Source organism: Homo sapiens, chromosome 1, assembly GCF_000001405.40.
Source record: "Homo sapiens chromosome 1, GRCh38.p14 Primary Assembly".
Classification (NCBI taxonomy): Eukaryota; Metazoa; Chordata; class Mammalia; order Primates; family Hominidae; genus Homo; species Homo sapiens.
Window position 1 is genome coordinate 28,257,611 of NC_000001.11, and position 25,989 is coordinate 28,283,599.

Consider the following 25,989-nt stretch of genomic DNA (forward strand, 5'->3'; position numbering starts at 1 on the left):
TGAGGCGGGCAGAGCACAAGGTCAGGAGTTCGAGACCAGCCTGATCAACATGGTGAAACCCTGTCTCCACTAAAAATACAAAAATTAGCCGGGTGTGGTGGCACTTGCCTGTAATCCCAGCTACTCAGGAGGCTGAGGCAGGAGAATTGCTTGAACCTGGGAGGCAGAGGTTGCAGTGAGCCAAGATCGGGCCACTGCACTCCAGCCTGGGAGACAGAGTGCGACTCTGTTTAAAAAAAAAAAAAAAAAAAAAAAAAAGATGTTGACCCTGCCCTCAAGGAGTTTACAATTAAAAAGATCAGATAAGCCAGACTCAGTGGTGCACACCTGTAACCCCAGTGATTGATTTGGGGGGCTGAGGAGGGAATATCGCTTGAGCCCAGGAATTTGAAGCTGCAGCGTGCTATGATCATGCCACTGTACTCCAGTCTGGGTGACAGAGCTAGACCCCATCTCTAAAAAACAATACTAATAAAAAGAAAAAAGGGTCAGATAAAACATGTACATAGAAAATTACAATACAAGGCAGAATGTGGCTGGACATGGTGGCTCATGCCTATAATCCTAGCACTTTGGGAGGCTGAGGTGAGAGAATCGCTTGAGCTCAGGAGTTTGAGACCAGCCTGGGCAACATATTGAGACCCTGTCTCTATTTACTAAAAAACAAAAAACAAAAACAAAAAAACAGAAAACAAAAAAACAAAAAACAAAAAAAACTAGGTAGAATGTGATACATGTGAAAAGAGATCCAGCTCAAGTGCCTTGGGAGCTCAGGGGAGGGTGAGATTAATCTCTTTTTCCCAAGAATCTGGAGGCAGGAAACCAAGTCGGTTTCATCTTTGGAATTGTAAGCTTAGACTTAGAAGTCTCAGAGGGGGACTTGGGGGTCTTATCCACCCTCACCCCTGGCAGGATTCCCTGTCTAGAATAAACAATAACTTTAAAATGGAAACAAAAAAAGGAGCTCTGAAGGAAAACTGTGAAGGAAGAGGCTCCGTTTGAAATGAATAGAAAATGAATTTAGCTTGGAGGTGCTGAGGTGTTGGTAGAGGCAACTTTCTGGCAAGAGGCGAGTTGAAGGCCAGGAAGTGAATGAGATCAGGGAGAGTGTCTGGAGGGAAGAGGGGCAAAAACAAACTGGGGAAGCACCCACGTTTTAGGAAGTGGGTGGTGAAAGAGGAGTCAGAGAAGGCCAGAGGGAGAGGTGAGCAAAGATCCAGCAGAACACCTTGTTACAAAGTTTCGAGGAGGGTGGGAGGGGTGGAAGCCAGGACGGGTAGCAGAAGGAAGAAAACTTCCAGCAATAGGGATTGAGGTTCCACACGAAGTTACCAATGACATTTCAAGGAATGAAGGCTTTTCCTGAGGCTCCACAAATAAGGTGAATTCCCTGTGTCTCGCATCTTTGGAGCTTCCCCGAGGCCAGGGGGAGCAGGGTTGTGCCCTCTGACCTCTAAATATCTGGGGTTCAGTTCTATAATTAGCAGCACCGGATAGGACGCGAGCCAAACCTCTCTTAACCCTAGCCAGTCCCTCCAGGAACTGAAAAGATGAAGAATTCATTTAGGAGATTTCACACTCGGCTGTTTGGCCTAGCCCAGTGAAGTCCCTTTTCATCACGCAACCCTAATGACTCTTAGGGCTGTCACTGCCGTCTGGTGTTGCCAGGGATCTGACTAAACCGTCTTGCAAAAGTTTGCAGCATTCACCCGAGGCGGACTACAACTCCCAGAATTCCGGGCGCTCCCCGGTGCTGATTGGCGGAGCCCGTGACTCCAGGGGGCGGAGTTTCCCCCGCCTCCCCGGGGAAACAGACCTCTGATTGGCTGGACCGCCGGGCTTTTGTGTCCCCGCCCTCCCCCGGGGACCGCAGCGGGCTGAACTGCTGGTGTCAGAGCCCGGCGAGCGCTGGCAGTTCCGCGGCGGGGATGCTGAGGAGCGCTGGGTCCGGGAGCAGCCCTGGCCCCTGCGGACTTCCGAGGCCGTGAAAACCCCTGCGCTGCGGCCCTTCCCAGGCCCCCGAGGCCGTTCGCCGTTCCCGAAGCCCGACTGGGGGAAGAGTCCAGCACCAAAGCGGCCGTTCTCGGATTCCGGAGCGTTCTGGAGCCCCGAGAGACGCCCCGGGGTTCTAGAAGCTCCCCGGCGGCGCCCAGTCCCGGCTTCATTCGGGCGTCCCTCCGAAACCCACTCGGGTGCACGGGTCGTCGGCGAGCCGCGACCGGGTCCTGGCGCGCACCATGATCGTGGCGGACTCCGAGTGCCGCGCAGAGCTCAAGGACTACCTGCGGTTCGCCCCGGGCGGCGTCGGCGACTCGGGCCCCGGAGAGGTAAGCGGCGGCCGCGCGACGCCCCTCTTCCCTGGAACCCCGAACCGCGTCTGAGCCTCAGGCTGTCCGGAGCTGAGTCGGTGTGTCCTGGGCTCGGGGAGGGAAAGCCGAGCGCGTAACCCGGGACCCGGGTTGCATCAACTGGCAGCCGCGGCCCTCGGCACCCCTCCCCCACTCTGTCTCCCCTCTCCCTCCTTCTCCCCCTCCCTCTCCCCCTCCTCCCTCCCTCTCCCCCTCTCCCTCACCGCCCCACCCCAGGGCCGCGGATCCTTCCTCGGCTCCCTCGGACTCCTGGCCAATGAGGGAGAAGCCTTCTGGAGGCTCTCCGAGCTTTGGGCTCCTGAGCGTCTTCAAGTCCAGGCAAATCCCGGCCGGAGCGGCCAGACCACTCCTCCTCCCCGCCCCCTTCCGCGGAGTCCCTTCCTCTTCGCGGGGGCCGGCGGGCAGAGGACCCTTCCTGGGGTGCCTCCCGGCTCCTGTCCCCCAGCGCGGGGCGTAGGCACCTGGGACTGGCCAGTGAAAGTCGACCTCATCCTATGTCCACCGCACTCCTGCTTTGGAGGGAGAGCGCAGGGGCTCTGGGGGCTTGGCGGGCCGCCCGGTACGCGGCGGCGGCAGCCAAAGCTGGGGGGAGAGGGGACAACCCTGGTCGCGGCTTCCGAAGCCAAGCGCGGGTTAGGCTGCGCCCTGCTAAGTAAGTGGTCTGAAGGCCCAGAAGTTTGTTTTCCAGAAATTCCTCCCCCACCCTCCCTTCGCGCCGCTCCCCTCCACCCCCCCGCATTCGCATCCCGGCATAGCCCGCAGGGGCTTTGCAGGGAGACCGGGAATTAGGCTGGACCTAACCAGACTGACAGTTCGCACTCCCCCACCACTACCAGCAGCAGCGATAATGGACATCTTATCATTTATTATGCACCTACTAGATACCAGGCTCTGAGTTTTTTTCGCCTTTAACCTAAGTCCTCAGGACTAAACCAGCAATACAAGCTACGCTATAGCCCCATTTTACAGGAAGAACATTGAGGCCCACGATGGGCTCAGAAAGAGGCTTTCTTCATTAACCCCACTGAATATCTTGTTCTTTGGCCTTATGATTTCGGAGATTGCACGGCACTAGGAGCTTCTAGTTGCTTTAGTTTACAGGCCTAGAGTGTGGTGGAAGTTGTATTCTGGACCTGGGATTTGGTGGAGTGCTATGACCCCAGGAAAATCCCTGCTTTTCTCTTAGTAACGTGGTTTCTGGGGATCCTACCTCCGTCGGTGTATAGTTTGTGCCCTGGTTTTTGTTAGCTTGCTTACCCTTCTCTGCCGTGATTTAGGAGCGCCATGTGGAGGAATGGCTCTTCTCCTGCAGCTTCTCAGCTGTGTGACTTCTTTGGAAAGATGGAAATAATGTTACTATTGAGAACACCTGAACACTAGAGAGCAAGAGTGCTGGGTTCATGTCCCAGCCCTCCTGCTAACTTGCAGTGTGTGGCTTAGCCAGTAATCACTTCTCTGATCTGTGGTTTCTTCCCATGGGGATTTTACAGTATCTCTAAGGGATTGTTGGGAGAATTAACTCAGAATACAAGCAAAAGCTGAAGCACTGTGACTGGAACATAGTAACTGCGTGATACTTGCTTGCTATTATCAGAACGTGGCCATGGCACGCACAGCTTTCTCCAGAGTGTCTCACAAGGGGGTGCCTGAGCCTGTTCCTGAGATCAGACACTGTACACCCCTCTCTGGGTCAGTGCCTGGTCTAGGGAGAAAAGGCTTTGAGGGAGGGATCTTTACACAGAAGCCATGTTTCCTCAGTGGAGAAAACTGCTGCTATCTGGGAGGTTTCTTTTTCTTATCTTTTTTTTTTTTTTTTTTTGAGATGGAGTCTTGCTCTGTTGCCCAGGCTGGAGTGCAGTGGCACGATCTCAGCTCACTGCAACCTCCATCTCCCAGGTTCAAGCAATTCTCCTGCCTCAGCCTCCCTAGTAGTTGGGATTACAGGCACCCGCCACCATGCCCAGCTAATTTTTGTATTTTCAGTAGAAACAGAGTTTCAGCATGTTGGCCAGGCTGATCTTGAACTCCTAACCTCAGGTGATCCACCTGCCTTGGCCTCCCAAAGTGCTGAGATTACCGGCATGAGCCACCGCACCTGGCCTATCTGGGAGATTTCTGTGTATTCCTCTCTCGAGAAAAGAGGACCTTCGGACGGTTTCTGCTTTGAGTGGTGGCATCCTTAGAAGACAGCAGGGTGCTGATCTTTGAGTCAGGTGCCCGAGGTCCAAGAGAAGACCCAGGCGTGCAGCTCCCTTAACTCCCTGTCACTTCACCACACACTCCCTTTCAGGAGCTCATTGCCTTCAGATGTGTGTATCTTCAGAAAGTTCCAAGGGCTTCACTCTAGTACTGGTAGTATTGGGCTCCCGAATAACTTTCTCGGCCAGATGCAGTGGCTCATGCCTGTAATACTAACACTTTGGGAGGCCGAGGCAGATGGATTGCTTGAGCCCAGGAGTTCAAAACCAGCCTGAAACCCTGTCTCTACAAAATATACAAAAGTTAGCCAGGCGTGGTGGTGTGCGCCAGCTACTTCGAAGGCTGAGGTGGGAGGATTGCTTGAGCCTGGGAGGCGGAGGTTGCAGTGAACTGTGATCATGCCACTGCACTCCAGCCTGGGTGACAGAGCAAGAGTCTGTCTCAAAAAAAAAAAAAAAAAAAAAACCAGGCTGGGCGCGGTGGCTCGCACCTGTAATCCAAGCACTTTGGGAGGCCGAGGTAGGTGGATCACAAGGTCAGGAGATTGAGACCATTCTGGCTAATACGGTGAAACCCCGTCTCTACTAAAAATACAAAAAATTAACCCTGCGTGGTGGCACACGCCTGTACTCCCAGCTACTCCGGAGGCTGAGGTAGGAGAATTGCTTGAACCTGGGAGGCAGAGGTTGCAGTGAGCCGAGATCGCTTCACTGTACTCCAGCCTGGGTGACAGAGTGAGACTCCGTCTCAAAAAAAACAAAACAAAACAAACTTTCTCAGACATCATTTCTTCTTCAGGGAAGCCCTTCCTCCCCCACTAGATAAGTCCCCTTGCACACCCTCCTCCATTCCCTCCATTGTAGGAGCTTTGGTCCCAATTATGTGAAATAGTCCCTTGCTGGAGATACCCTGCAAGTCTCATCCCCAGCACTGCTCTTTGCACCTAATAAGTGTTCGTGACTAGTTGCCCCTTGCTGGCTTAGCTGACCCTTGTGAACTATTCCAGCCGTGGAGTCAGATCTGAATTGTGCCCATTTGGAAGAGGACCTTTCTGAGCCTCTCTGACCTGTTTCCGAAGAAGGGATTATAAGAACTGTTTCCCTCTGGGTGGTTGGGAGGAATTGGCACAATCAGATGTGTAAAGCACTTAGCGTGGTTCCCAGCTCATGATGGGCAGACAAGTGTATGGCACCACTCACTCACACCCCCTCCACCCTGCCCACTCCAAGGCTGGAGGTCCTGGGCTGCTTGGGCTGTATTTCCGTATCGTCTTCTCAGGCATAAACCCAGGAAAATATCTGAATTCAGCTGGGGGTGAGGGAAGGAGAAATAGTGTCTGTTCCTTCCCAGCTGGCAGAGTGGGTAACCAGGTGTCTGTAGCTGAGACCAGGGACTTACAGGCTCTATAAAGGATAATATAGGGTAACCGAGAATAAAGTCTGGGGCTTCTCCAAGAAGCCGATATGGGTAGTAGACAGAACCCTTGGAAGCCAGACTGAGCTGGGTTCAACTCTCCAAGGCTGGGGCTGCTTCCCAAAGCTGTTATTATGAAGTGGAATGGACCTTAGAAGCCAGGCAGCCGTGGGTTCAGATCTCAGATTGGCTACTTGTCAGCTGGTGCCTAACCTTTGAACCCTTAGTCTTGTGTGCAAAATAGAGACTCTGCCGCCGCCCCAAAACAGATGAAAATTAGATGGAACCTGTGTGCAAGTACCTGAGCTAATTTAAAAGTTAACATATAGTAAGTGCTTAAATTAGGATCCATGCCAGGCATGGTGGCTCATGCCTGTAATCCCAGCACTTTGGGAGGCTGAAGTGGGAAGATCGCTTGAGCCCAGGAGTTTGAGACCAGCCTTGGCAACACAGTGAGACCTCATCTCTATTTAAAAAAAAAAAAAAAAAAGGCCAGGCACGGTGGCTCAAACGCCCATAATCCCAGCATATTGGGAGGCCAAGGTGAGCAGGTTATGTCTCTACTAAAAATACAAAAATTAGCCGGGCTTGGTGGCGCATGCCTATACTCCCAGCTACTTAGGAGGCTGAGGCAGGAGAATTGCCTGAACTCAGGAGGCGGAGGTTGCAGTGAGCCAAGATCACGCAACTGCACTCCAGCCTGGGTGACAGAGCGAGACTCCATCTCAAAGAAAAAAAGAAAAAAAAAGAAAAAATTAGGAGCCAGGCACAGGTCTGGGGCCATTATCCTCTTTTTACAGTTTGTGTGAAGACCTTCATGTTGAATGACCACCTAAAGGGTTAACTTTAGTGTTCCTGTTGCCCCATGTGATCTGTTTAGTTGAAATTATAAAAATACCCAACACTGGTTCTCCCTCTGTCCCACACTAGCTGTTATTTTGGACAGGTGACCTGACCCCTCTGTGTTGCACTTTTCTTGTTCTGTTACGTGGAACTGGAATCATGCCTTTATCAGGTCTACTGAACCTGTACCATCCAATATGGTAACCCCTCACTACATGTGGCTATTTAAATTTAGATAAATTAAAATTAAATAAAATGAAAATTTTTTGTTGCATTTGTCACATTTCAAATGCTCAGCCACAGTGACTAGAGACTCACATTTCTTGGACAGTACAGATATAAAACATTCCATCATCGCAGAAAATTCTGTTGGACTGTGCTATGCTAGGCACTGGGGTAACAACAAAGAACTAGATTCAGTGTGTGCCCCCAAGTGTGACAGGTGCTGTGACTGGAGCTTCTCATTCTTGGTGAGTCCCAGATGCAGCAGCCTGGAGACTATTGAGACCTTGAGAAGTTTAGAGAATGGGGAATCATTTCTGCACTTGCAGAAACCTGGGTTGTATCCCAGCCCTGCTACTGCCTTCCTGCCTGAGTAGCCAGAAGTGAGTTGACCTCTCTGAGCCTTGTTCCTCATCTGTAAAATGGAAGCCCTAGTAGTAGCTTCTGCCCTAAAGTCCAGGTAGTGCATGTGAAATTAATGCTTAGCCAGTGGTAACCAGCCTTGTTATGCACCATTGTTATTACTGACTCCCCAGTCCAGGGAATTGGGCAGGGAGGGCTGACTTGGAGGGGTCATTTCTTGGCAGTGGTATGCTGCCCTGCCTGCTTCCTCTGTCAGGATCGGGGAAGCATTCAGGGTATTGGAGCCATGGATTCAAATCTACTTGGTTTTGCCTTCAGGGCTTTATACTCGCGTTCCCTCTGGCTGGAATGCTGGTCCCCCTAGTTTTTGGGGTGTGTGTTTGTTTGTTTTGAGACGGAGTTTCACTCTTGTTGCCCAGGCTGGAGTGCAATGGTGCGATCTCAGCTCACCACAACCTCCACCTCCTGGGTTCAAGCAATTCTCCTGCCTCAGCCCCCCGAGTAGCTGGGACTACAGGCATGCACCACCATGCCTGGCTAATTTTTTGTATTTTTAGTAGAGACGGGGTTTCTCCATGTTGGTCAGGCTGGTCTCGAACTCCCAACCTCTGGTGATCCGCCTGCCTCGGCCTCTCAAAGTGCTGGGATTTCAGGCGTGAGCCACTGCGCCCGGCCTGTTTGTTTTTTAAGAGAGGGTGTCCTGCTGTGTTGTCCAGACTGTTCTCAAATTCCTAGCCTCAGGTGATCCTCCACCACCAAGCCTTCCAAAGTACCGGGGTTACAGGTGTGAACCACCCCACTTAGGCCCCCTAGATCTTTACAGGCCTTGCTGTCTTCTCATCATTTAGATAACAGCTCAAAGACCACCTCCTCAATGGCTTCTCCTGTCTACTTACACTAAAATATTGCACACTCTCCCTCCCCATCATACAGTTACTGTTTATTTCACTCACTTTATAGAATCTGTGCTTTGAAATCCTGTTTATCAGATTCTGAATTATATGAAGGCCAAGGGCTTTGTCTTTTCACTGCTGTATTCTTGCTGCTTGCAATATAGCCATCAAAAATATTTGTTGAGTGAACAAATTAATTCTGTTTCCACCTAGAAAGCACTTAGCATAGTGCCTTATACTTGAGAAAGTGATCAATAAATGGTGTAAACAATGGTCCTCACCCTGGCTGTTATGCTGGGGCCCCACCCCAGATAACTAAATTAGAATTGCGGGAGGTGGGACCTTGGCATTGTTATTTTTGTAAAGCTTCTCAAAGGATTCTAATGTACCGCTTGGGTTGAGAAGCCCTTGTTTGATACAGCAAGGAGGTTAATGATACCTGACTTTTTATTAAGTGCTTATTGTTATGGAGGTATTGAGGTAAGCTACACAGTGTTATCTCATGAAATCCTCATCACTGGCCAGTGGAAGTAGTTACTGCTATCCCCATTATTTGGTAAAGAAACTGAGGCTCATAAAGCTAAGGGATAGCAGGTGGTGGAGCTGTCATTTGAGCTCATGCAATTTGTGTCAAGAGCCCCATCTTTTTTTTTTTTTTTTTTTTTGAGACAGGGTCTTGCCCTGTTGCTCAGGCTGGAATGCCGTGGTGCGATCATAGCTTGCTGTAACCTCAAACTCCTGGGCTCAGGCAGTCCTCCTGCCTCAGCCTCCTGAGTAGCTGGGACTACAGGTTGTGTGCTACCATGCCCAGCTAATTTACTGTTTGTGGAGACAGGGGTCTCACTGTGTTGCCCAGGCTGGTCTCGAATTCCTGGCCTCAAGCGATCCTCTTGCCTCAGTGTCCCAACGTGCTGGGATGAGCTGCTGCGCCAGCCAAGGGCCCCTATCTTTTAACTGCATTGTATATTGTTGTTGTTGTTGTTATTGCTGAAAGTGTTGATGGATCCAGACCGATGACTTAGAGCTCCTTCTTTTGACAATTCCTGGGTCAGATTTTGGAGTGAGTTGGGATTCCCAAGGCTATTCCTATCCTTCCCTAGCACCCCTGATGGGCCGTCTCTGCCTCCCCCAGTTTTGCTCCACCCTACCCTGCTGTGGCTTGCTATTCTGTCCTCAGGTCCCCTGAGGTGGAGGCCCAGTTTGTGGAGTCAGCAATCCTTATCTCCTATACAGAGCTGTTGGGCTTTTTCTTTGGTGAGGGGGAGGGAAGCTCCAAAGGGGAGTGCTCAGGGATTGTGTTGGTTACTACGCTGAACTTGGACCAGCCTGGCCCGGAAGTTCCCAGAAGTGTGGGCTGAAGGGGGCCTGCACGGTCAGCTCAACTCCCTTTTTGAAGGTAGCTGGGCTACTTTACCTACCAGTTTAGTAGGTAAAGAGAGTTTAGGCCTTTAACTTTCCCAGAGCCACATAGCAAGTTAGTTGCAGAATTGGTACCTATTCCAGAGACTTTGTAGTCTTCTGGAGTCCCAGAGCTCTGCCTCCTCAGTGGGCTTTTGGCCATCTGAGAAGGAAGGTTCAATTATAGTTTTTGGTTCCCGGATACCTGAGGGCTGGTACTAAGTCTGGATCTTAATGGGAAGGGGAGAACTGGGCGCCTCCTATCCCTGTCCAGTGAGAGCATGGCTCTGATTTGGGTAAACTGTAAACAAGACCAGTGCTGAGAGCCACCTCCACTCTCAGATTAACAAAATAAATTAATAAGTAGAGCATCCTTCCTGAACCCCATCTCTAGGACTAGGAGAAGCAGATGTAGTGAGTACCTGATATTAGTGGTTTCTAAAGAGGCTGCAGCATATAACAGGTCAAAACAGTTGCTCCCATCAGCCTTGTACACCCTGCTCAGATTCCCTCCGTGCCTTTCTGCTTTCTCTGTCTTCATTCACAGACTAGTATGAATGACCTGGCGCTGCTCTCCACTAAATGTGATCTGGTGTCAGGGAAACAAAACAGACAATTTGATGACAGTGTTTTTAGAAGCAAAAGCCCTGGGAATTTTGGGGTCATAGGTGAGGGCCAGAAAAAGGTTCCTAGACTATTGTGGTTTAGCTTTGCAAAAGGAGTGACCACTGGGACTGGGCCAGTTGTATCTGGAAGCCCATGGGAGGGGGAGGTAGGGTTTTAAGCCAGTTGATCGGATTTATATTCAGAAAGTTAATGTGGCTACTGGGTAGAGGATGGATAGGAGAGGCCAGGGCTAAGGAGGCCGGGGGACAACTGGCGAGGTTGTGAGTAGTGGTCCAGACAAGAGGGGGTGGTAGTTAATGAGGTGGTGGTGGTGGGAGGACAGATAAGCAGCCAGGCATGGTGACTCCCATCTGTAATCCCAGTGCTTTGGGAGGCCAAGGCAGGAGGATCCATTGAGCCCAGCAGTTTGAGGCTATAGTGAGCTATGACTGCACCACTAAAGAAGAGGCCAGGCGTGGTGGCTCATTCCAGTAATCCCAGCACTTTGGGAGGCTGAGGTGGGCGGATCACCTGAGGTTGGGGATTCGAGACCAGCCTGGCCAACATGGAGAAACCCAGTTTCTACTAAAAATATAAAATTAGGTGAGCGTGGTTGTGCATGCCTGTAATCCCAGCTACTCGGGAGGCTGAGGCAGGAGAATCGCTTGAACCCAGGAGGCAGAGGTTGCAATGAGCTGAGATCGCACCATTGCACTCCAGCCTGGGCAACAAGAGCGATACTCCGTCTCAAAAAAAAAAAGAAGCAAAAGAAGGAAGGAGAAGGAAGGAAGGAAGGAAGAAGGAGGAGGAGGAGGAAGAAAGGAAGGAAGGAAGGAACGAACGAACATGTGAGAGAAATTGAAGCTGCTTCTGAAGCATCTGGGGTACTTGGTTACCTGGCTTCAGGGTGCAAACTGTGGTGTGTTCTTGTATAAGTTCTCTGGGACCACTAAGAAGGTGGCCTCCTGGAGATGTGCAGCATGATGGCTATATAGTTCCTTTTCCAGGACCCTCCCATCCCGCAATGCTGGGATTCTTGGGTCCCAACCCAGTTCCTGAAGAACTCAGCCTGGAGTGAGCCCTCTTTCTTGATTACCCTTCCAAACATGTGTATATCTCCCATCTGGCTCCACCATCCAAAGTATGCTAGAAAGGTGGGTTTAACACTTCAGTGTAGCCCCTTGGATAGGAGGAAGAGGCTGGATAGGTAATAATCCTCTTTATTCTCCCTTCTACTACGGACTAACCTCATATGTTTCCTCCCAGGAGCAGAGGGAGAGCCGGGCTCGGCGAGGCCCTCGAGGGCCCAGCGCCTTCATCCCCGTGGAGGAGGTAAGCTTGGAAGGGGTTAGGGATCTTTGGTCCCTGGGAAGAAAGGACATGGCATATTGGTAGGCAGGCATCTTTTCCTGTTCTTTAAATTGCAGCTTTTAAGCTATTCCTTTCTGATTTCTGATTCATTTAATTCACAAAACGGCTTTGTGAAGCAGGCACTGTCAACTCCATTTTACTGGGAAGAAACAGGCTCAAAGAAATCAAGTGCTAATAGCCAGGTAGTGGCCAAACTTTTTTTTTTTTTCATGCTCAAACTTTTGATTCCTAGATCAGTGCCTGCTTTCCCTTAAGAAGATAGAACTATCTATCTCATCCATGACCATACATATATTACACGCTCTTTTCTGTTTTAAAAGTAATATATGTTTATTATTTTAAAAATTTCCATTGTTTCAGAAAGCTCTGATCTCCTGTATCCTCCTGCACCCTGCAGAGATCATCACTGTTAACCATTTGCCACTGTTTACTGTGCTTTTTTCAAGCCAATACTTACTTTCAGTACAGAACCAAGGTCATAGTTTACAACGTGTTTTTTTGTTTTGTTTTTCACTTAATACAAGAAAGACATCTTTCATCTACTGAGTCAGTTCATTCATTCATTTACTTAACATATCTATTAAATGATTAATCTATGTCAGGCACTGTTCTGGTTGCTTGGGATATAGTAGTGAACAAGACAGACAAAAATATTTGCCATTATGGAGCTTACATTCTAGTGTGTTGGGATAGTGGAGTTACCTTCAAAACATGCAGAAAAATGTAAAACTAGTTTCCTCATTTTATTTGGCCATCAGTGAACAAGGACAAATTTTTTGTTTTGCCGGCCGCAGTGGCTCACGCCTGTAATCCCAACACTTTGGGAGGCCGAGGCGGGCGGATCACGAGGTCAGGAGATCGAGACCATCCTGGCTAACACGGTGAAGCACCGTCTCTACTAAAAATACAAAAAATTAGCCAGGCGTGGTGGCGGGCGCCTGTAATCCCAGCTACTCTGGAGGCTGAGGCAGGAGAATGGCATGAACCCGGGAGGCGGAGCTTGCAGTGAGCCGAGATCGCGCCACTGCACTCCAGCTTGCGTGACAGAGTGAGACTCCGTCTCAAAAAAAAAAAAAAAAATTTGTTTCCTCTCTTTGCTTTTCCTAAATGTGTAGGGCGAGTGGTTAAGGAGCTAACAAACATTTACCCTCCTTCTAAACCCCTTGTTCCTCTACTCCTTTGTAAATATAAGGCGAACAACCACTTGCCGATTATTTATGTCTGTGACCCAGAATTCTAAGCTCAAGTATTGCTCTTGTCTTTTATTTTTTCATTTATAAGTGACCACCTTTTTTTTTTTTGAAACGAAGTTTTGTTCTTGTTGCCCAGGCTGGAGTGCAATGGCACGATCTTGGCTCACCGCAACCTCTGCCTCCCAGGTTCAAGCAATTCTCCTGCCTCAAGCCTCCCGAGTAGCTGGGATTACAGGCATGAGCCACCACGCCCAGCTAATTTTGTATTAGCAGAGATGGGGTTTCTCCATGTTGGTCAGGCTGGTCTCAAACTCCGGACCTTAGGTGATCTGCCCATCTCTGCCTCCCAATGTGCTGGGATTACAGATGTGAGCCACCGTGCCCAGCCCACTCTTTTATAATAAAGAGAAGAAACAGGCAGCCAGGCACAGTAGCTCATGCCTGTAATCCCAGCACTTTGGGAGGCCAAGGTTTGGGGATCACTTGAGCCCAGGAGTTCGAGACCAGCCTGGACAACATAGTGGGACCCCGTCTGTATTAAAAAAAAAAGTTAAAAAGAAATAGGCTTTGGAGTTCATCTGGATTTGAATCTGCTTCTGTTATTTATCAGATCTGTGACTTTGAGCAAGGAAGAAAACTTCCTGGTTTCCTCATCTGGCAAAGTGGGGGAAATAATAGTATTCACCTCACAGGCTTATTGGCTAGATCCCATGAAATCACGCGGAGAAAACTGTAAGCTCAGGGATGGCATGGAGACAGCACTCAGGAAATGTGAACTATTTTGCACCCGCCCCCATGGTTATATGCATTTGCAGTGTTAGAATAGACACTCCATGAAGGGAGGAGAAACTGTACTTTTACTCTCTGTGCCTGATTTTTCCTACCTAAAAGTGGAGAAACAGAACTCCAGTTTTATAGTTGTTGTGAGAGTTAAATAAGTTAAAATATGCATTCTTGAACAGTGCTTGGCACATAGCATTGTATGTGTAAGTACTGGCCATTATTATATAAGGTACCTAATAAGTATTTATTGAATCACTTATTAAAATATGTGATCCTCCCCATTCTTTCTTTTTGGACACGGTGGTGGTTTTTAGTTTCTTGCCATTAAAAACCCACTGGAAGAATACATTGGTCTCTTTGATGAGTGGGGCAGGAGGGAAACCCATGCTCTCCTCCCCTTTGGTTGGCAGGTCCTTCGGGAGGGGGCTGAGAGCCTCGAGCAGCACCTGGGGCTGGAGGCACTGATGTCCTCTGGGCGAGTAGACAACCTGGCAGTGGTGATGGGCCTGCACCCTGACTACTTTACCAGCTTCTGGCGCCTGCACTACCTGCTGCTGCACACGGATGGTCCCTTGGCCAGCTCCTGGCGCCACTACATTGCCATCATGGTGAGCCTCTCTGGGCCTGACACTTGGAGAGGTGGCTTTGTGGTGGGTTCTGTCCTTTGATCTCTTTTCTGGGAGCTTTGTGAGCTGATTCCATAGACAAGCAGGGAAAGCCCTGGCTTTATCTAACTGTAGAGTTTTGGGTTTTTTGTTTTTATTTTTTCTCAGAAGGAAAATTTTAGGTTTTGAAGAAAGGCATCGTTAGTGCTTGTGTTAGGTACAGATTGGCAAACTGAGGTGCAAAAAGGAATCAGGTGGCCTGCAAGCTGGTGGCAGAGCTGGGGTTACTTAGAACTTAGATTTCCTGCCTCTTGGGGAACAGTGAGCCCTACAACCTCTCCCCTGATGGGGTACCCACCCTGAGCCAGGCACAAAAGGAGGAGGGTGACTCAGGCTGTGTCCACTACCTCCGCAGGCTGCCGCCCGCCATCAGTGTTCTTACCTGGTAGGCTCCCACATGGCCGAGTTTCTGCAGACTGGTGGTGACCCTGAGTGGCTGCTGGGCCTCCACCGGGCCCCCGAGAAGCTGCGCAAACTCAGCGAGATCAACAAGTTGCTGGCGCATCGGCCATGGCTCATCACCAAGGAACACATCCAGGTGCAGGGGGCAGAGAGGCGGGTGTCTGAGGGAGCACAGAGGCCTGGCTGGTGCCTGGTGGGTAACCCAGGGCAGGCACTGAGCAGCTCTGACCTCCCCCCTTGTCCCTTCCAGGCCTTGCTGAAGACCGGCGAGCACACTTGGTCCCTGGCCGAGCTCATTCAGGCTCTGGTCCTGCTCACCCACTGCCACTCGCTCTCCTCCTTCGTGTTTGGCTGTGGCATCCTCCCTGAGGGGGATGCAGATGGCAGCCCTGCCCCCCAGGCACCTACACCCCCTAGTGAACAGAGCAGCCCCCCAAGCAGGGACCCGTTGAACAACTCTGGGGTAAGTCACGGGCCTGGGTCTTGATCGGGGAGGAAGCGGGCATGACCTCTGGTCCTTAGGTAGAAGCTACTGCTTCCCAATCTCGTATCTGCACTACCTGCTGCTATGAGAGACCATAGAAAAGTTATTTGACTTTGAAGCTTAGTTTCCTCATCTGTGAAATGGGGAGATAAAGACCCTCTACTCACACTGGGCTGTGAGGGTTAAATGAAATACCATGTGACTGACACTGTGTATATGCCATAGGCTCAAAGCCTGTTGGTTTTAGCACTTTAAAACTACAAAGTTTACCTTTTACTCTGTAATGTGGCCTTGTATGTTTCAATACAAAAATACAGATACTTTAAAAATTCCTGCTCAGGGAAGATGTGTCTATTCTGTAGCTTTGTAAACGTCACTTTAGGAAGCACAGACCCCATGTGCTGTCCAGCACAGTGGCTGGCACAGAGGATGCCCTGGGCCTTTGTGAGCATTAGGAAGGCCTGGCCTCTGGGAAGGATGAGTGGAGCTTCCCAGAGGCTGAAGGAGGAGGAGTAGCTGGTCACCACGGGGCCTCTCCTGCAGGGCTTTGAGTCTGCCCGCGACGTGGAGGCGCTGATGGAGCGCATGCAGCAGCTGCAGGAGAGCCTGCTGCGGGATGAGGGGACGTCCCAGGAGGAGATGGAGAGCCGCTTTGAGCTGGAGAAGTCAGAGAGCCTGCTGGTGACCCCCTCAGGTACAGGGTCACAGGCATCCAGGCTCCCGTGGCTGCTCCTTCTTAGGCTATCTCTGGTGAGGAGGAGCCACCTCCTGCATTCCAGAGGCAGCCACTTCTCAACCTCCCGTCCAAGAGGTTCTGAGCATGGGCCTTGGGCTCAGACCTGGCTTTGAATCCTGGGCTGCTAGCCTTTCCGGCTGTGCGACCACTGACGAGTCACTTCCTAGCTCAGGGCTTCAGGATTGCTGTGTAGGGTTAGTGGGGCAGTAGAAGCAAAGATCTTAGCGCAGAGCCTGGCCCAGGGGGAACCGCTCCATAAATAACTGCCACTATTGTTGTTACCAGGGGCCTCGCTTCATGGGTCCATGGGCCTGATCCACCCCCTCCCCAAGGCCTGGCTCCAGCTGAAATCTTGCCCCACTCACTATAGCAAGGGGCTTTTTTTGGCCCTCTATTCTGCCTTCCCCTCCCCCTTTTGGTGATTAATCAGGAATGGACCCCTGCATGCCCCATGCCTCAGCCTCACTGTGACCTCTTTCTGGTCCTCAGCTGACATCCTGGAGCCCTCTCCACACCCAGACATGCTGTGCTTTGTGGAAGACCCTACTTTCGGATATGAGGACTTCACTCGGAGAGGGGCTCAGGCACCCCCTACCTTCCGGGCCCAGGTAGGGCTCTCTCTACTAGTCTTGGCCATTGCTCCACATTTACGAACAAGCAGTGGGTGGATAGTTTGAGTAGTTACAGAGTTAGGTACCCAGCTGGGCATGGTAGCTCACACCTGTAATCCCAGCACTTTGGGAAGCCAAGGTGGGAGGATTGCTTGAGCCCAGGAGCTTGAGACTAGCCTGGGCAACATGGCGAAACCCTGTCTCTACAAAAACATTTAAAAAATTAACTGGAAGGTGGCGCATGCCTGTAGTCCCAGCTACTTGAATGGCTGAGGTGGGAGGATCACTTGAGCTGGGAGATCAAGGCTGCAGTGAGCTGTGATCGCGCTACTGCGCTCCAGCCTGGGTGACAGCAAGATCCTGTCTCAAAAAAAAAAAAACAGAGTTGGGTACGTTATTTCCCTCAAGATTCCACGAGGGCAGTGGGGTCCCTGTGAATCCTTAAGGGACCCATCTATACCCTAAGCTCAGGGGTTGCTGATCATAAGGAGAAGGTCATCACCAAAGTATACCTTCCTTGACCTCTCAGGCCCAGAGCAAGCAGCACGTTAGGTTTATGGCACCAGGAAGGAGAATCATGGAGATCCCAGGTCCAGAGGATGGGGGTCTCTCTGGCTGGTCTTGGGCTCCAAAGACTCACCAATCCCTTCCCACCTACCTAAGGATTATACCTGGGAAGACCATGGCTACTCGCTGATCCAGCGGCTTTACCCTGAGGGTGGGCAGCTGCTGGATGAGAAGTTCCAGGCAGCCTATAGCCTCACCTACAATACCATCGCCATGCACAGTGGTGTGGACACCTCCGTGCTCCGCAGGGCCATCTGGAACTATATCCACTGCGTCTTTGGCATCAGGTGAGCTCATATCCCTTCATTTGGGGCATGTGTGCACTGTAAGTCTTCACTCTGGGTTCACAGTTGTTTCCATTTTCTTTTTGTTTTTTTCTTTTCCTTTCTTCTTGCCTATACTGTTTTTCAAAGCAAATTGTGATTTTAAAAGATGACAGTACTCATTGTTTGAACGTTGTAAATGAAACTCTTTAATTGCACTCCCAGAGATAATTATTGTTTGATATTTATGTACATATATATACACACACACACATACTCACACATATATACACATATACATGCATACACACACACACACACACACACTATATATATATGTAGAGAGAGTTATGTTTGTATTTCCATTCTGAGTAGTAATTCTCCCATAATAAATAAGGACAACATAAATGCTCAGTAGGGGACTTTAAATAATGATACGTCTATTCAGTGAAATACTATGCAGCTGTTAAAAATTACAATAGGCTGGGCGCAGTGGCTCATGCCTGTAATCCCAGCACTTTGGGAGGCCGAGGCGGGCGGATCATGAGGTTAGGAGTTCGAGACCAGCCTGACCAACATGGTGAAACCCCGTTCTACTAAAAATAAAAAAATTAGCTGGGTGTGGTGGTAGACATTTGTAATCCCAGCTACTCAAGAGGCTGAGGCAGGAGAATCGCTTGAACCGGGGAGGCGGAGGCTGAAGTGAGCTGGGATCGTGCCACTGCACTCCAGCCTGGGTGACAGAGCAAGACTCTGTCTCAAAAAAAAAATTACAATAGAGGCCAGGCGCGGTGGCTCATGCCTGTAATCCCAGCACTTTGGGATGGCAATGTGAAAAGATTGCTTGAGACCAGGAGTTCAAGACGAGCTTGGGCAACATAGTGAGACCCCCATCTCTACAAAAAATTAAAAAATTTGCCTGTGTGGTGGCATCACTGGAGTCCAGGAGTTCGAGACCAACCTGAGCTACATGGTGAAACCCCATATCTATGAAAAATAACAAAAATTAGCCAGGCATGGTGGCTGACGCCTGTAGTTCCAGCTACTTAGGAAGCTGAGGCAGGAGGATCCCTTGAGCCTGGGAGGCAGAGGTTGCAGTGAGCTGAGATCATACCACTGTGCTCCAGCCTGGGCAACAGAGCAAGACGCTATCTCAAAATAAATAAATAAAATTGAAAAATACAGATAACAAAAAAGAAAATAAAGGCTGGGTGCAGTGGCTCACACCTGCAATCCCAGCACTTTGGGAGGCTGAAGCAGGAGGATTACATGAGGCCAGGAGTTTGTGCCTCAGCCTGGACAACATAATTAAGACCCATCTCTACAAAAAAATAAAAATTAGCTGAGTGTGGTGGTGCATGCCTATAGTCCCAGGTATTCTAGAGGCTGAGACAGGAGGATCACTTGTGCCCAAGAGCTCAAGGCTATAGTGAGCCATGAATGCACCACTGCACTCCAGCCTGGGCCACACAGCGAGACCCTTCACTAAAAAAATACAAAATAAAATTTAAAAAAAATTATCCATTATACTATCTGCTGTTATTATTATCAGTTATCTCCTTCCTGTCTTTTTCTTTCCTTTTTTTTTTTTTTTTTTTTTTTTTTGAGACAGAGTTTCAATCTTGTTGCCTAGGCTGGAGTGCAATGGGGTGATCTCAGCTCACTGCAACCTCCGCCTCCCGGATTCGAGGGATTCTCCCGCCTCAGCCGTCCGAATAGCTGGGATTACCAGCATGTGCCACCACGCCCAGCTAATTTTGTATTTTTAGTAGAGATGAGATTTCTCCATGTTGGCCAGGCTGGTCTCAAACTTCTCACCTCAGGTGATCTGCCCGCCTCAGCCTCCCAAAGTGCTGGGGTTACAGGCATGAGACACTGCGCCCAGCCTTTTTTTTTTTTTTTTTTTAATTTATTTATTTATTTCTTTATTTTTGAGACGGAGTCTCGCTCTGTTGCCCAGGCTGGAGTGCAGTGGCTCAATCTCTGCTCACTGCAACCTCCGCCTCCCAGGTTCAAGCAATTCTCCCTGCCTCAGCCTCCTGAGTACCTGGGATTACAGGCACATGCCACCATGCCCAGGTAGTTTTTTGTATTTTTAGCAGAGATGGGGTTTCAGCCTGGTAGCCAGGATGGTCTTGATCTCCTGACCTCATGATCCGCCCACCTTGGCCTCCCAAAGAGCTGGGATCACAGGCGTGAGCCACTGCGCCTGGCTTTTTTTTTTTTTTTGAGACAGAGTCTTGCTCTGTCACCCAGGCTGGAGTAGAGTGGAGTGATCTCAGCTCACTGCAACCTCCAGCTCCTGAGCTCAGGTGATCCTTCTGCCTGATCCTTCTGCCTCATCCTTCTTAGTAGCTGGAACTATAGGTGGGTGCCACCATGCCCAGCTAATTTTTGCATTTTTAGTAGAGATGGTGTTTCACCATGTTGGACAGGCTGGTCTGGAACTCCTCACCTCAAGCTATCCGCTCGCCTCAGCCTCCCAAAGTGTTGGGATTATAGGCGGGAGCCACCACACCTGGCACCTTTCTTTTTTTCTATGCACAAGTAACCAAAGCATATATAATTTACAAAAACAAGATCAGTTGCCATTTCCTTACCTATTCATTTCAGTTGTTTTATTCATTTACTCAAACATGAGCATGTTTTAGTGAACCCATGATTTTTTTTCCTGCCTTTCTCACTTAACAGTTTATACCAAACACCAAAAAATTATCCCCCAATTTTAAAAAAGGTACGTGCTCCTTGTAGAAAGTTTGTGTTTCTGTGTATTACTAGCTGTAAATCATATTTCACTGAATGGGTTGAGCTATACTTAATGAACCATCCTCTTACTCTAGTCACTAGTAGGTTTCCAACCCATGGCTGGCCAAGGACAGGCTTCTTAGAATGTGAGTTGGGCTGGTTTCCGCCCAGCCCTCAGGTCCAGGCTTCTCTGCTCTCCAACATGGTTCTTGCTCCTATTTCTTTGTCTTCCAAATCTGCCCTCCAGTTTCCAGCCAGTCATTCCTCTGTCTACACTGATCTGTTTTGACATTGGCTCCCCTCACTCACTAGACTGGGGATAACTAAGTGGCTTCTAGACTCATCATCAACTTGCTTTTTGGCTTTGAAGAAGTTAGTCATCTTCTCCAGGGCTTAGGTTGCCCATTTGTAGAATGAGTACAAGCACCTTTTTACCCTTATCCTCTTCCTTCTCCTCCACTGACCTCCTCCTCTACCTTCCATGGCCTTTACTACAGAGTAGTGGTTATGGCCCCTGAGCTAGGCAGAGCTGGGTTTAAAACCCATTCCTGTCCAGGCGTGGTGGCTCACGCCTGTAATCCCAGCACTTTGGGAGGCTGAGGCAGGCGGATCATGAGGTCAGGAGTTCGAGACCAGCCTGACCAACATGGTGAAACCCCATCTCTACTAAAAATACAAAAATTAGCCGGGCACAGTGGCATGTACCTGTAATCCCAGCTACTCAGGAGGCTGAGGCAGGAGAATTGCTTGAACTCAGGAGGCTGAGGTTGCGGTGAGCCGAGATCACGCCATTGCACTCCAGCCTGTGCAACAGAGCGAGACTCCGTCTCAAAAGAAAAACAAAAACATACTGAAATTAATGTAAAAAAATGTGAGCTAAGCTTTCTGCAACTCTGAAATCAAGTTATATCTCCTCCTTTAAATAAAACTGCCTTGTTGATCATGAAAAAACAAAAACAAAGACCATTCCTTGCTGTATTAACTAGGGCAAGTGACTTCCTTTCTCTAAATCTCAGTTTCCTCATCTATAACATGGGGTTGATGAATGTAGCAGATTGCATACACCATCCAGTCATGTACACAGTAGTGTAGAGTAGTTTTGAGGATTCCACATGGCACATAGTTGGTATTCAATACAGCATGCTCATTCTCTGCATTCCTTGACGTGGTCCCCTGCCAATGTGGCGGCCTGTGATAACACGATATCAGCTGTTTCTCCAAGAGGAACTAGGCTTCTTGTTGCTTCTACCTTCTGATTTTTCTCAACACTCTGTTCTTCCCTCTGTAGGGTGGGGTTGCGGGGAGGGAGCTGCCTTTGGGAAGAAAGCATGAGTAATGCTGCTGGGACCTTTCCATCCAGATATGATGACTATGATTATGGGGAGGTGAACCAGCTCCTGGAGCGGAACCTCAAGGTCTATATCAAGACAGTGGCCTGCTACCCAGAGAAGACCACCCGAAGAATGTACAACCTCTTCTGGAGGCACTTCCGCCACTCAGAGAAGGTATGACCTATACAGGCAGGGCAGGATGGAAGTAGACAGGCCAAGCCAGTGGAGAGGGCAAGGGGTTAGGACCCAGTGAGAGTCCCCAGACTGAGTCTGTCCTGCTAGGTGGGACACCTGGGCCTATTCCTCTGGATTGAAGTCCTATTCCACTGTGTGATTTCAGAGTCTGTTTACTCACCTGTAAAATGGGAATGAGGGTGCCTGCTTCACATTAGTGGTAGCTTGGTGGACCTGGGTTCAAATCATAACACTATCTCTTGATAGCAGTGTGACTTTCGGCAAGTCACATTATCTCGCTGAGTTTTTTTGTTTTTTTTTTTGAGATGAGTCTCCCTTTGTTGCCCAGGCTGGAGTGCAGTGGCACGATCTTGGCTCACTGCAACTTCCACCTCCCAAGTTCAAGCGATTCTCCTGCCTCAGCCTCCTGAGTAGCTGGGACTACAGGCGTGTGCCACCATCCCCAGCTAATTTTTTGTATTTTTAGTAGAGACGGGGTTTCACTGTGTTAGCCAGGATGGTCTTGATCTGACCTTGTGATCCACCTGTCTCGGACTTCCAAAGTGCTGAGATTACAGGTGTGAGTCATCGTGCCTGGCCTCTCTGAGCTTTTTATCCTGTTTTTTTTTTGAGACAGAGTCTTGCTCTGTTGCCCAGGCTGGAGCGCAGCGGTGTGATTTCGGCTCGCTGCAGCCTCCACTTCCTAGGCTCAAGTGTCCTCCCAACTCAGCCCCCAGAGGGCCTGAGGTACACACCACCTGATTTTTTAAATTCCTAGTAGAGATAAGGTCTCACTGTGTTGTCCATCCTGGTCTCAACCTCCTGAGTTCAAATGATCCTCCTGCCTCAGCCTCTCAAAGTTTTTTGTTTTTGTGATGGGGTCACACTATATTGTCCAGGCTGTATTTGAACTTCTGGACTCAAGTGATCCTCTCACCTCAGCCTCCCAAGTAGCTGGGATTTCATTTTTATAATGGGAATAAATACTGCTGTATTTCAAGGTTGCTGGGAAGATAAAATAAAAAAATGTACATAAACCTCTGCAACCTCTGTCTCCCGGGTTCAAGTAATTCTCCTGCCTCAGCTTTCCAAGTAGCTGGGATTACAGGCATCCACCACCATGCCCAGCTAACTTTTTGTATTTTTAGTAGAGATGGGGTTTCACTATGTTGGCCAGGCTGGTCTCGAACTCCTGACCTCCTGATCCACTCGCCTTGGCCTCCCAAAGTGTTGGGATTACAGGCGTGAGCCACCGCACCTGGCCATTTTACCTTTAGGGAATACAGAGCTTAGTCATGATAGGAATGAATGTGCTTGTCCTTGTACTAAACTGCTCAGAGCCTTAGCAGATGCTGGGGCAGCTCTGTAGGAAAGGAAATGGTGAGGTAAGTGGGTCAGGGATCAAGGCAGTCTGGGAGGGGTGTGGGGGTGAGGAGTGACATCAGTTGCCAACATGCCTTCCTCTGTGCCCCAGGTCCACGTGAACTTGCTGCTCCTGGAGGCGCGCATGCAAGCCGCTCTGCTGTACGCCCTCCGTGCCATCACCCGCTACATGACCTGACTCCTGAGCAGGACCTGGGCCCGGTTCAGCTCCCCACAAGGACTTCTCTGTCTGGAGACAGCCCCAGACCCTTTTGTGTCCCATGCCCACCCTCCCCACGCTGCAGTGGGCTTGTGTGTGATGTGCAGTCCCGAAGCCACACCCTCCCTTTTCCTCACTGGAATGGACAGTTCATTGCACTGACTCTGGGATCTCAGCCCTGCTCCTGGGAGCTGGAAGAGCACTTGGAGATCCTAAGGGACCACACCCTTCCTCCTTCCCCTGCCCACAGAGGCAGAGGGCACAGGAAAGAAGCCGGGCCAAGCTCGGAATTAATGTGCCACAAGTGTTGTGGCCTTCCTGAACTGGGAAGTCCCTGGCTGGCCCCCGGGGGAGAGGGGCAAATGCCTCCGGGACTGACACTCCAGGCAGCTTTGCCTTCTCTCCCCTGTCATTTCCAGATTTCATTACCTCCTACTTGCCATTCACCCATCAATGTGAAAGTCAGGGTCACAGCTGGTCTGTGTGTCCAGTTCCCTAAAAGCCTGTTCTGTTGGGCAGCCTGAGGCTGTTGCCCGAATCCTAGTTCAGTTTTTTGACTTCCTTTGCCCTTTTTCCCTTTTCTCCATGCTTAATGGTGTGAGGCGTCAGGAGAGAGGCCAAGTACATAAAAAAAAAAAAAGCAGATTATCTCTAGAGAGTTTGAGCCTTTGCTGGTCACATTGCCTTCTGAAGAGGAGGGAGTATTAGATTATAAATCCTCTTTATTTTGGTCCTTTATGCTTGAGGTTCCAACCTGGAGCCACAGTGTGTGAGAGGAGGAGGAGAGGGAGAATTCTGTTCTCCCAGAGCTGCACCTGCCTCGCAGAGGCCAGCACCCCACTCTCCTGCCTCCAGTGGCCCTGCCGCAGATGTCTCCCAAAAAGTTGAGCCTTTCTAGATGGCTTAGGTGGCACCATGGCTCAGCAGGAGGGGCGGGAGGCACCAGGGTTCTTGTTTGGACCCTGCCCCTGGGCCATGGCCAGGTGACCATGGCTACATTGCCAAACCTCTGACTGCCACAGCTGCAGACTGAGAGGGTGGGTCTGAGTCCCCACAATGTCTGAAGCTGCCCCTGGGATTCTCAGGCCAACCTGCCAACAGCAAGCGGATTTTCTTGCAAGATCAGGGACCCCATTTCTGCAGCCAGTGTCTCCTGGGTGCCTTCTGAGGACTCCCACCCCCATCCCAGTATCTCATCTGTCCCCTCTCCTGGGGCTTAAGTGGGTTGCTTCCAGGCAGAAGCAGCCAAGGACCGATTCCAGGCACTTTCTGTAGCAAATGACTGTGAATTACGACTTCTCTTGCCCTTCTTCTAGCAGTCTGTGCCTCCTCTCTGACCAGTTTGGAGGGCACTGAAGAAAGGCAAGGGCCGTGCTGCTGCTGGGCGGGGCAGGAGAGGAGCCTGGCCAGTGTGCCACATTAAATACCCGTGCAGGCGCGGAGAAGCAACCGGCACCCCCTTCCGGCCTGAAAGCCCTCCCTGCAAGAAGGTGTGCAGGAGAGAAGAGGCCCCGGCATGGGGATCTGGGTTCTAGAGGGCATGTGATGACTGTAAATGTTCACTGGGTGGGTAGGGAGTGGTATCCAGTGTTCAAGTGCAGAAATCTTTGGCTTTGCTACCAGTTCCATATGATGAGAAATAAACGTTCGCTGAGGTTTTGTTTCATACTCCCTTTTTATGGGCTGTTCTTTCAATTTCCTGAAGGTCATGGTTCACCTTGTAGCATAGGCAGAGAGCTGTGATTGCATCATGGGCCTGACCTGATAGCCCCTGCCCTGCCGAGAACTTGTGCCCAGTGATTGTAGGTTGGGACTGTTGGCACTGAAAGTCTACTTGTCCCTTGGACATCCAGTCCTGTCACCCTTCTGCGGCTGCCCTGGCACTGTGGAGTAATAATGACCATGGTGTTTTTCTAAGCCTGGCCATGGGCTGGGTACTTGGAGACCATTCCTCTGAATTTGCAGCAATCCTGTAGGAGAATTGAGACGGGTGAACTGACGTTGTTGAGGCCACATGGCTAATCGGTGGGGGAGCCAGGATTCCCCCCTGCTCTGCTTGACCCTGAGGCCTTGACATTTTACCTTGCTGTTTTGCCCACTACTGGACTTCCCCTGTGACAAAGAGGCTGTTTGAATCTGGAAGGACCCCCTTGTGTCCCCAACCCCACCACATTATGATTACCTGCTTCTCATCCTACCGCCTCCAGCACCAAGGAGACAACGCCAGGAACAAAGAGGTGCAACCCCCAAGCTGTGCCAGTGCCGTTTATGGCTGTGTGACCTTGGTCAAGCTTCTTAACTTCTCTGGGTACCAGGAACTAGTTAGCTTACCAGGAAAACCACATCATGTAAGAGCTAAGACCACTCCCGCGGGCTTCCTACTTCCTATAAATACCGCTGTCAGAACACTAGGTCTCTTCCAGGCAGCCTCCCCTAGTGGACTTTGTGTTCCCCTTCCCCTTGAGGTATCTGTTCATTTTCGCAGGATTCCTATACACTTCCCCTTCCTCTAGAGTCATTTGAGAGGGTGTGGGAGAAAGTGAATCACACTTGGAGTACAAAACCTGGATTCTGGTTCTGATTGAGCCACTCACTATATCGCTGGGGAGATTGATTAATTTCCCTGTGCCTCAAGTTTCCTCAGCCATAGAAATGGGGATAAAAGTTTTCCATTTCTTTTCCAGTTGGCATGCATTGGGTGTTTGTTTGAGATGGAGTCTCGCTCTGTCACCCAGGCTGGAGTGCAGTGTCACAATCTCGGCTCAACTGCAACCTC

At 50.0% G+C, this 25,989-nt stretch overlaps 1 protein-coding gene across 2 annotated transcripts, besides 4 other annotated features; it reads left to right on the forward strand.

Moving 5' to 3' along the window:
* Positions 1,479-1,658: an enhancer, noted in NCBI's record as "active region_594". NCBI's record gives its function as "activates an Ori minimal core promoter by ATAC-STARR-seq in GM12878 lymphoblastoid cells {active_cell/tissue: GM12878}" and the evidence as "EXISTENCE:reporter gene assay evidence [ECO:0000049][PMID:35858748]".
* Positions 1,651-2,499: an enhancer, noted in NCBI's record as "NANOG-H3K27ac-H3K4me1 hESC enhancer chr1:28585772-28586620 (GRCh37/hg19 assembly coordinates)". NCBI's record gives its function as "activates a minimal SCP1, AML or CMV promoter by ChIP-STARR-seq in naive and primed H9 embryonic stem cells {active_cell/tissue: H9 hESC(naive and primed)}" and the evidence as "EXISTENCE:reporter gene assay evidence [ECO:0000049][PMID:30033119]".
* Positions 1,769-1,978: a silencer, noted in NCBI's record as "silent region_536". NCBI's record gives its function as "represses an Ori minimal core promoter by ATAC-STARR-seq in GM12878 lymphoblastoid cells {active_cell/tissue: GM12878}" and the evidence as "EXISTENCE:reporter gene assay evidence [ECO:0000049][PMID:35858748]".
* On the forward strand, positions 1,908-24,881 carry SESN2 (sestrin 2). Of its 2 annotated transcripts, NM_031459.5 has the most exons (10): positions 1,908-2,327; positions 11,573-11,638; positions 14,064-14,261; positions 14,674-14,856; positions 14,971-15,183; positions 15,748-15,898; positions 16,430-16,548; positions 17,215-17,405; positions 21,487-21,631; positions 23,106-24,881. In NM_031459.5, the coding sequence occupies exons 1-10, from the start codon at positions 2,238-2,240 to the stop codon at positions 23,190-23,192; spliced, it is 1,443 nt and encodes a 480-aa protein (NP_113647.1). In that variant the 5' UTR covers positions 1,908-2,237; the 3' UTR covers positions 23,193-24,881. The 2 variants fall into 2 exon arrangements, with proteins under 2 accessions (NP_113647.1, XP_047287475.1); XM_047431519.1 differs by lacking the exons at positions 15,748-15,898; positions 21,487-21,631; positions 23,106-24,881.
* Positions 2,759-2,818: a silencer, noted in NCBI's record as "silent region_537". NCBI's record gives its function as "represses an Ori minimal core promoter by ATAC-STARR-seq in GM12878 lymphoblastoid cells {active_cell/tissue: GM12878}" and the evidence as "EXISTENCE:reporter gene assay evidence [ECO:0000049][PMID:35858748]".
* Positions 24,882-25,989: the final 1,108 nt, after the last annotated feature.